A 9365-nucleotide genomic window follows, 5' to 3' on the forward strand; every position below is an offset into this window, starting at 1 on the left:
CCATCCGGACCCACCACCTCTCGGGACAAGGAGGCTCTCAGGCCTCACAGAGGCCTTGCCCAGCCTGGGAGCATCATAGGGCTGGCCAGGGCCAGGAGGGACCATGAGCCCACCCCATCCTGGGCCCCAGGAGCCAGCGTGGCAGGCTTTGTCCTGTGGCATTTCTAGCCACCCACCTTGTCCCCGGGGCCTTGTCCCCAGCAAGGTGTGCCAAAGGCCCCTCACCAGCCACCCCTCCAGGCCCACACTCTGTTGAGGCCCTGGCAGGGCAGGGTTACCAGTCTGGGCTCAGAGGCCTGGAGCCTGCACAACCTCTGAGCAAGCTGGACCTGCCCACAGCAGCAGAGGCTCTGCCTCTCCAGCTGGGGCGACCCTGCACTTGCCCTGGTATCCCAGCGTGAACGAGGGGGTCAGGTGTGAACAGGGGGGTCAGGAGGAAGCGGCACCTCCGTCTGCAGTCTCCTCAGATCTTGCCTGTGCAAGCTCAGAGTGGGGCCTTCAAGGGGGGTCCCAAGAACCGGGATTTGGGCTCTGGGCTGTGCACAGTCTCCGGGACCTGACTCTGGGTCTGTCCCTGCACCCCTGCACCTGTGGCCCTCCCAGGTCAGCTGCTGGTGCCACAGCCCCATAGTTGTGAACACCTGGAGCTGCCCATTCAGCCTCTTGTGCCGACTTTTCCCGAAGGTGACCTCTGGACGACCTCCCGGTGCACAGAGGGAGGAGGAAGAGCAGGTTTATGAGCGGGGTGGGGGGGCGCATTCCTCCGGGCAGCCTGGTGGCCTGGGCCTATCTCACCATCGCCACAGGACTGAGGGGCCCCCTGAGCCTCGGCCCACCTCTGGCCTGGCTGACCTGTGGGCACCAGGAAGCCCAGGACCAGGGGACCACATTAGGGTCTCAGCCCCGGTTACCCTGGAGCTGGGCTGGGCCCAGTGGCTGCCATGTGTCTCTAGTGCAGCCTCTGCTCACTCCTCCAGGGACAGAGAGCTCCCTCCGCACTCCCCCGGCCGACTGATAACTCCATTTCAGATGGCACAAGAATTCTCTCATACAGGTGGTTTGTGGAAAAAAACAGCAGCTCTGGGGCAGTCGTGAAGACCAAGTTGCCCAGCACGGTGCTGGGCGCTCAGCCAGAGCCATCTCTGAACCCTCTGGGGGGTCCCAGTTCAGCCTCCAGACCTACAGATCTGCCTGTCCCTATGGCCCTGGGGCAACTGCAGAGCCTGGGCCAGTGCTCTGAGGCTGGCATCTCAGCCCCAACCCTGGCTCCCTAGAACTCTAGCAGTGCCAACAGGGCAGGACTGTCACCTCCAGAAAGCTGGGCGCAGGCCTTGGGTAGCCTGGCATGGGGCGGCTCCTGCATACGTTCAGGAGTGAATGGAGCCTCGGATTCTCTGAAGAGCCCCACTGCTCTGTCAGGGGGATCATGGCTCCCCGGGGTCAGAGGGATGGAGGGCAGTGTTTCTGTCCAGAAAGGCTCGAGGGCAGCTAGAAATGCCACAGGTCCTGGCCTTCTGGGGTATGGTTTCCCACATGGGCCCTTGTACTGGGGGTTGAGGTCCCGAGAGGAAGGCAGGGAAGTGTGCAGGGCCACGCCTCAACACAGGGGCCAGACCCTGAGAAACTCGTTCTCACTCCTCGGGCCTTGAGGCCCCCCGGCTGCTCTCCGTGGCTGGCCCTGGCCCATTAGTTTATTGATCCCCTTGACCAATCATTGGACCAAAGTTTCCTCAACCCTTGCTTGGGCCAGATCCAGGCCAGGGACCAGAGGGAGCTTGAAACATCCCGTCCCCTGACAAGGAGGTGCCCGGGAGGGTGGGAGAGTTGCCACTCAGACCAGAAGCCCAGATGTCCCTGCCTACCCCAGGGACAGCCAGCCCAGGCTGGTCCCAGACAGTCACCAGAGCCTTCCTTCAGGTCCCCCTTGTGTGCCCACCTGACCTGCTGGGAGCACTGGGTAATGAAGAGGTCATGCTGCCCCCACCTGCAGGCTACTAGCCCTCCCAGAGGTCATGTGACCAAGAGGACCTTTCCCAGGCCCACACCAACCATGGCAGCTTTGCTTTTAGCAGCACAAACAGATCTGGGATCCAGTGAGACCTGCAGGAAGGGTCTCACCCTGTCTGTGCCTCAGCGAAATGAAATTAATATTAGGACCACCTTCTCTGGGTAGCAGTCAGAGGGAAACGGGCACACAGCAGGTGCTCATTAAATGCTTCATGGCAGTCACTTGGGAAAACAGCTTGGGTGTTTCTTTAAAAGTTTAACATAAAGTTACTGCCAAAAAATGGAAGCAACCCTGTTTATCAACTGATGAATGGATACACAAAATATCTATCTACCCATGCAATGGAATACTATTTGGCAATAATCTAATAAAAATTAAAAAGGAATGAAGGCCAGGTGCAGTGGCTCATGTCTGAAATCCTAGCACTATGGGAGGCTGAGGTGAAAGGATCGCCTGAGGCCAGGAGCCAGAGGCCCCAGTGAGCTATGATTGCACCACTGCACTCCAGCCTGGGTGACAGAGCAAGACCCTGTCTCAATAAATAAATAAATAAATAAATAAGAGGAATGAAGTACTGCTATGCACTGCAGCATGGATGGACCATGAAGGCATTGTACTAAGTGAAAGAAACCAATCGTGAAAGGCCACATAATGTGTGATTCCATTTATGTGAAATGTCCAGAAGAGGCAAACCTATAGATGCAGAAAGTAGATTTGCCAAGGCCTGGGGGAGCAGGAAGTGGGGAGTGACTGCCAGTGGAGACAGTTTCTTTTCAGGGGACAGGGTGTTCTAAACTTAGATTGTAGTGATGGTTGTACAACTCTGTAAACATACAGAAGTTTGGAATTGTACACTTTAAGTGGGGGAACTTTATAGCATGTAAGTTATAGCTCAATAAAATTGTTTTTTAAAATTGGTCAATGCTCCATGGCCATTCTCTCTGCCCTGCAGCCAATGCCTGGGGGCAACCCTTGCAGCGGGTGGTTCAGCACCAGAGCCTTGGTGGGTAGGGAACAGAGGCCCTTTGCCTGGGGGGGTGATGGGGAGAATGTGACCTGGAGCTGCGGGAGACACAGAAACGACACCCAGAAACACCACACACCCGCACACACACACTATGCATGCACGTGCACACACGCACACTTCCTGGGGGATGAAATGCAGCCATTCCCAAAGACACCTGGCCCCAAGAGTCACCTCTGGCAGGCTGCAGGAAGCACCCACCAGCCTCCTGGCTTCTGCTGCTGGCTGCTCCCTACACCAGCAGGCTGGGTGCCTCCCCAAGCCTCAGTCTGCTCTTCTCCTCAATGGGCAGAAAGTAACCTGCTTCCCAGGGCTGCAGAAGAGGCCAGTGGGGTTCTATGGTGGAATTCACTTTATTGTTGTTTTTAATTATTGTATTACTTATCTGGTTTGGGGGTGTTTTGGGTTTTTGTTTTGTTTTGTTTTGCTTTGTTTTAGGCAGTCTCACTCTGTCACCTAGGTTGGAGTGCAGTGGTGTGATCATGGCTCACTGCAGCCTCGAACTCCTAGGCTCTCATGATCCTCCTGCCTCAGCCTCCTGAGTAGCTAAGACTACACAGGCATGCACCATCATACTGCCTATTTTTTTTTCTTTATTGGTAGAGACATGGTCTCACTATGTTCCCCAGGCTGCTTGTGAACTCCTGTCCTCAAGTGATCTTCCTGCCTTGGCCTCTCAAAGTGCTGGGATTACAGGAATGAGTCACGGCACCCAGCCATTTATCATTTTTATTAAGGAAATAGTTCAAACATACGAAAAGTGCGCGGAGTATAATACAGTGAACCCCATGTGTCCATACCCACCACAACAAACTACTGACGCACGCAACAAAGTGAATGGAAGTAACAACCTCCGGGACCGTGTCTCCCGCCCCACCCCAATCTCCTCCCCCACTCCTCTCATCTTCTGTGGGCCAGTTCTAAAGCTCGTTCAGTCTAAGGTGGAGACTGCGGCGGAAGTGGTCTTTCTCAGGGAGGCAGTGGCGGGGTGGTCAGGGCCTCTCACCAAGCAGGTAGGACTGGTCAACTCCATGATTCTGAGAGTCTGCGACTCTGTGACTGGTTTTTAAAATTGTTGTTTGTCACATACAGTAAAAATCACCCCTTTAAACATGTAGCTCTGTGCGTTTTGAAAAACACATTCAGTTGTGTAACCCCTACCTGAGTCAAAAGAGAGAACAGGTGCACCCCCATGCTTCATGCCCCTGTGAAAGCACCCCTCGCACACCCGGCCCCAGCATTCACTCATCTCTTTTCCATCACTGTTGTTTTACACTTTCTAGAATGTCACATGAGTGGGATCACACTGTGTGTGGACTTTCCAGCAAGGCTTCCTGGCCTTGGGATTCATGCTTGTGGCTGCACGTCCCAGCAGCTCCTTGGGTCACTGAGCAGGGCCCCGAGGTGTGGCTGTGGACGAGCGGATGGATTCACCTGCGGAAGGACACTCGGGCTGCTTCCAGTTTGGGGTGACTGTGACTAAAGCTGCTCCGAACACTCTTGTGGGGTTTTGTGTGAGCATCGGTGCTTCTCTCCCATAAGTAAACACCTCACCGTGGAAGGTCTGTGTTGTGTGGCGTGTGTTTTACTGCCACGCGGTTTCCCACCCCAGCTGCTGTCTGCATTCCCGCCTGACTGGGCATTTTACCTTTCACTCAACACATTCCCATCGGGCACCCACCCAGGCCAGGCGCGGTGCTCCCAGTGACGGAAATGGCCAGGATGAACGAGCTCTGCCCTCCTGGGCCCTCCTGGGCCCTCCTGTCCTGTGGGCAGCAGGCAAGAAACCAGGCAGCCTGGGGACACGCGGGACCATCTGGCTGTTGGCAAGGGCTCCAAGGGCATGAATTAGGGCAATGCTAACAGGGTGACTGGGGCGGGCCTTGCTGAGGTGAGTTTGAACCGAGATTAAGGCAGAGGGGCCATCCCATCCAAGATCCGGGGGAAGGGTTTCCAGGCGGGGGCCCAGCAGGTGCCAAGGCCCCGAGGTAGGTGAATCGTGTTATTATGCTGTGACTCAGCGACTTTTTGGATGAATGCTGAGTTCCAGGGACCTGCTAGAAACCTTACAGTCATCCCCTGTTCAATCCTCACAGCAGTCCTACGCAGGAGGGGCTACTGTCGCCCCCAGCTTACAGCAGAGCCACTCAGGTTCAGAGAGGTTGTCACCTGTCTCGCTGCACAGGCCACGCGGGGCAGAGCCAGCACTTGAACCCGGCGGGACTCATGGAAGTGCGCTGAACACCTGGATTCCCACCTCAGCTCGAATCCCTGCCTGCAGTCCTGCTGTGTGGCCCTGGGCAGGTCACAGGTCCTCTCTGAGCTTCCGCTTTCCCGTCTGTAAAACCGGGCTGGCGCTGCTGGCCTCGCAGCCCGCCGTAAGCATCCTGTGGGATGAGGTGTGAAAATGTCCTGGAACGGTGGGGCCCTTGCACGGTGGGGTGGGCACGCACCCATTCCGCCCCGAAGGGCCGTAGCCAGCCAGGCCCCCTCCTCGGCCCGCCGCGGGACTGCGCTGCCGCCAGGCGCCGACAGAGGGCAGGAGCGGCCCGCGCCCAGCGGCCGAGAGCGCACGGCAGGGCTGGCAGGGGCGGCCCCGGCGAGGCGCAGCGCGGGCGGGAGCCCGAATGTGGTCTCAGGACTGCGGCAAACACCTGTCGGACTGTCTGGGACGCACGACCTAGGGACACGGACCCAGTGCACGGTGTGGGGGAGGAGGTTAGCGAGGGATCCTGGGCCCACCCGTCTCCGGGCTACCCCACCCCTACCCCGCCAGTCCCCGCCATCCAGCGAGGTGCCCCGGGAGTCTCTCCGGGAGAGCGCTGGCCCCGGGTCTGCGAAGAGCCGGCCTGGGGGGCAGGGCCTTAGGCTCAAAGGCCGCCACGTCCCCACGTGGCTCTGAGCACCGGTGATGTGGCCGTCCAAGATGAGATATACCCAGGGCCCAGTACACCCCAGCTTCCAAAGGCCTTCTGTGACAAAGAGAGACTAAACAATCACACTTATCACCTTTTGTATTGAGCTGAAATAGTAATATTTTGGATCTACTGGGTTAAATAAAATATGAAAATTAATTTCATTTTTTCTTTTTAAAATTGTGGCTAAGATATAAAATTAGGTAGATGGCTCTCACCTGCCGCTTGTGTTCTGTCTCTACAGGACAGGCCTAAGTTGGATGTCTGTGTTATCCCATGTAATCCCGTCCAACTCTCCCAGTGAGGCGTTTACTGTTATTACCTATCCCATTCTACAAACGGGGAAGCTGAGGCGCTGAGCAGTGATGTGACTTGCTCAGGGTGGGTTATGGGCACACACCCAGCAGTGCCCACCCCATGCCCATGTGTACCACACACAAATATTCATAACACATGCAGGGGCCCAGACTGTCAGTGCCAGAGTCCACGGGTAAGATGGAGAGACCCTGAACACAAACACGCTGCCAGCCTCCCAGCTCATACACAAGCGTCACCTGTGCACACCCAGTCTTGTGACAGCGTCAGGAGCACACACATCCACACTGCTGTTCCCAGACCCCCTGCTCACGCCCATGCACACACACCTACAGGTGTGCTGGTCTTCGAGGCAGGCAGTGTGGCCAGCCTCCCTCATGGCCCACAGTGCCATCCAGAAGACTGTATGGGGCCCTGCTGCTGACTGGCTGGTGGGCTCGAGACCCGCCAGACAGTCAGGCCCCTACTCACCTAGGGCTTGGAAAGGGGGCCCTGGCTGAGACTCCATCTGTGTCTGGGGGAGCCAGACCCGAGGGGAGTGAGTGGGCCTACGCGGAGCTCCTGCCCTCCCTGCGCCTGCCTGCCACCCTTCTGTTGAGGGCCCTTCCTCCTGGCTGCAGCCATTTGCATAAAGCTCCCAAGCCCAAGGATCACATTACATGGAGGCCTGATGATAATCTTTGTTGAAATAATATTTAACACATGCTGCACTTTTAATTAACTATCTGAATAATCTCAAATTAATACCAGAGCTTTAAAAATAAGTTTTCATTTTCGCGTTTGGTAACATAATAGCGGCCCGGCTGGCCCGTTTCCCCCTTCTTTGATTTAATTAAAAGCCCTTTTGTGTGTCTCTTGTCACTTCAGAAATGGACAAAAGCCCCCATGTGGGCCAGCCAGGGCTCCTGCTCGGGGTCCAGGTCTGAGGCCAGGGCCAGGGTCAGGGGTACTTAGGGGCCCTGAGGGCAGGTCCTCCACTGAAGCTCCCAGCCTGGCTCTGGCAGTGCCACTGAGGGAGGCCACACATCACACACACTTTTGCCCAGGGACACTGGGGCACGGTCACAGAGGCCAGCAGGCTGCCTCCCATGCATACAGACACACGCTAGAGGCAGGTGGCAATCTCCGTCCCTCGTCCATAACACACACCGGCCAGGCTCTGCAAACATGCCCACCAGACCCATGAGCCTCACGTACCTTCACGCATGCATGTGCACACACACAAAGTCACAGTCACATATACACCATTTGGGAATTGACAACCAGAGCCATTCTGGGCTTGGCATTAACAATTGGCATTCTAAGTCCAGATCCAAGAAACCTGGGGAGCTGCCTGGCCCCGGTGCATGACCCCTGCCCCAGAGTGTGTGATGTGTGTGTCTGTTGCTTCTCTCTCTCCCTGTCCTAACCTGTTGGTTCTGTCTCTGCACCTCTGTCGCAGGCTCAGGACCCCGAGGCCCGCCAGGTGGGCAGCCTCCTGGGGCTGGGTGTGTTTCCCCACTAAGTCTGCTTTCACTCGCAGGTTTCCTCCTGGACCTGAGGAGCAGGCAGGGGTCCTGGGGGCTTCTGCCTTGCCCCTGCCCTGGCAAGCCAAGCCCTCTTCTGAACCCGAGATAGACCAAGGGAAGCTTCCCCAGGCAAGCAGCCCCAGCCAGTCCAGCAGGGAAACTGAGTCCCTACGGAGGCTTAGTTTTCTCCAACAGGTCCAGGTTGCCAGGTGTCTCTCCACTTGGGGGGCCTGAGGCCTTGGGGAACTGTGTGGGAGGGGGTACAAGCCAGACCCACCACAGAGCCTGGAGTCTTGGCAGGGAAAAGTGGAGGTCCCTGGGAGGGTCTGTGCTTCCCGCTGAGGTCCTTGGAAAGCTGGGGGAGGGAGCTGTCGATTCCCCCAGCGACAGGGGCCAGCAGTGAGGCCGACCTGGCCAGGGGTGGAAGCAGCCACCACCTCCAGCTGACTCGTTCCATCGACAAACCCCAGGGAACTGGGTCTGTGCTGGATGAACATATTGGGCCCTGTGTCCTCGTGATATGGGTGGTGAAGGGGTCCCTGCCCTCATCTCACAGCCAGATGGGTGCAGAACATAGTGCTACTGGGAGGAGGCTGGGCAGACAGTGAGGGCACGCGGTGGAGGCAGGGTGAGCGGGGAGGCCACACGCAGGACGCTGTATCTGACACATCGTCAGAAGAGGGGCTCCCAGGGCTGCAATAAGCAAGGCAGCCTCCTGCCCCCATCCCGGGCCCTGGGACCCAGAGCATGACCAGCAGAGCAGGTCCTGAGAACAGATGGCCCGGGGTGCAGTGGCCTCCCGAAACCCTGTCAACCGGCCCCTTCTGGCTCAGACTGCCCAGCCAGCCCGGGTCAGCTGGGGCCCAGTGCACTCCCCACCTGAGGGCTGCCTGAAGAGCCAGGCGAGCGTGTTCCCACCCAGCCCACCCAGCTGCCGAGGACTGGCTGGACCACTCGGGTACCTGGCCCTGACCTCGTCCAGTGTCTCACCCACAACCACACCATCACCATCACACACCGGGACACAGAGTTACGGACAAGCCGTGACACAGAGCCAATGCCCGGGCAGCAGCCATCCCCAACCACAGGCTCACACAACACACGTGATCCTATGTGTGGGCACTCACACACAGTCACAAGTAGCCACATGCACACACACAATCCACATGGTCACACCCTCACCCAAGACCATACACATGAGTGTGCACACAGGGCCGCCACCAGCCGGCTGGTACAGACCCCAGGCCCTTGGCTGCTGGTGCCCCTGTGCAGGAGTGATGTCATGGGGAGGCCTTCCACCTGGGCAGCCAGAGGGGAGGCCAGACCGTGTCCTGTGTGCTGAGTGCCCGCTGGGCACTGGCGCTGGGGGTGTGCACAGGAGCTCTCACAGTAAGTCTCAAGCAGGGGCAGTGTTCCCGCTGTATAGAAGGGGAAACTGGCTCAGAGAGGTGAGATAAATTGATCAAGTCACACAGCAAGAAACAGAAGGAGCTGGGCCTGGAATCAGCCTGCACACTGCCAGTTCACACAGCTATCTCCTTCTGAAACCTGGGGGACGTTCTGGGCAAGTAGGGGGCAGGGCTGCCCCTGCAACA

The 9365-nt window shown here is 57.6% G+C and overlaps 1 protein-coding gene across 1 annotated transcript in view, besides 6 other annotated features; it reads left to right on the plus strand.

Moving 5' to 3' along the window:
* Positions 1-5289, plus strand: part of EEFSEC (eukaryotic elongation factor, selenocysteine-tRNA specific) — a 272743-nt gene extending 267454 nt beyond the window's left edge. The window contains exon 8 of the mRNA XM_024453695.2: positions 5129-5289. Within this exon, the coding sequence (XP_024309463.1) occupies positions 5129-5244 (116 nt within the window). The 3' untranslated portion in view covers positions 5245-5289. The remainder of the gene's footprint in view (positions 1-5128) is intronic.
* Positions 5276-5475: an enhancer, noted in NCBI's record as "active region_20481". NCBI's record gives its function as "activates an Ori minimal core promoter by ATAC-STARR-seq in GM12878 lymphoblastoid cells {active_cell/tissue: GM12878}" and the evidence as "EXISTENCE:reporter gene assay evidence [ECO:0000049][PMID:35858748]".
* Positions 5276-6028: a biological region, named in NCBI's record as "CRISPRi-FlowFISH-validated RPN1 regulatory element 2". NCBI's record gives its function as "regulatory_interactions: RPN1".
* Positions 5348-6028: a transcriptional cis regulatory region, noted in NCBI's record as "intergenic|chr3:128145125-128145805 region (GRCh37/hg19 assembly coordinates) targeted for CRISPR interference". NCBI's record gives its function as "positively regulates RPN1 gene expression in K562 cells {active_cell/tissue: K562}" and the evidence as "EXISTENCE:mutant phenotype evidence [ECO:0000015][PMID:31784727]".
* Positions 5476-5785: a silencer, noted in NCBI's record as "silent region_14704". NCBI's record gives its function as "represses an Ori minimal core promoter by ATAC-STARR-seq in GM12878 lymphoblastoid cells {active_cell/tissue: GM12878}" and the evidence as "EXISTENCE:reporter gene assay evidence [ECO:0000049][PMID:35858748]".
* Positions 5816-5865: a silencer, noted in NCBI's record as "silent region_14705". NCBI's record gives its function as "represses an Ori minimal core promoter by ATAC-STARR-seq in GM12878 lymphoblastoid cells {active_cell/tissue: GM12878}" and the evidence as "EXISTENCE:reporter gene assay evidence [ECO:0000049][PMID:35858748]".
* Positions 6554-7112: an enhancer, noted in NCBI's record as "H3K4me1 hESC enhancer chr3:128146331-128146889 (GRCh37/hg19 assembly coordinates)". NCBI's record gives its function as "activates a minimal SCP1, AML or CMV promoter by ChIP-STARR-seq in naive H9 embryonic stem cells {active_cell/tissue: H9 hESC(naive)}" and the evidence as "EXISTENCE:reporter gene assay evidence [ECO:0000049][PMID:30033119]".

The sequence above is a fragment of the Homo sapiens genome, chromosome 3 (assembly GCF_000001405.40).
Source record: "Homo sapiens chromosome 3, GRCh38.p14 Primary Assembly".
Taxonomy (NCBI): Eukaryota; Metazoa; Chordata; class Mammalia; order Primates; family Hominidae; genus Homo; species Homo sapiens.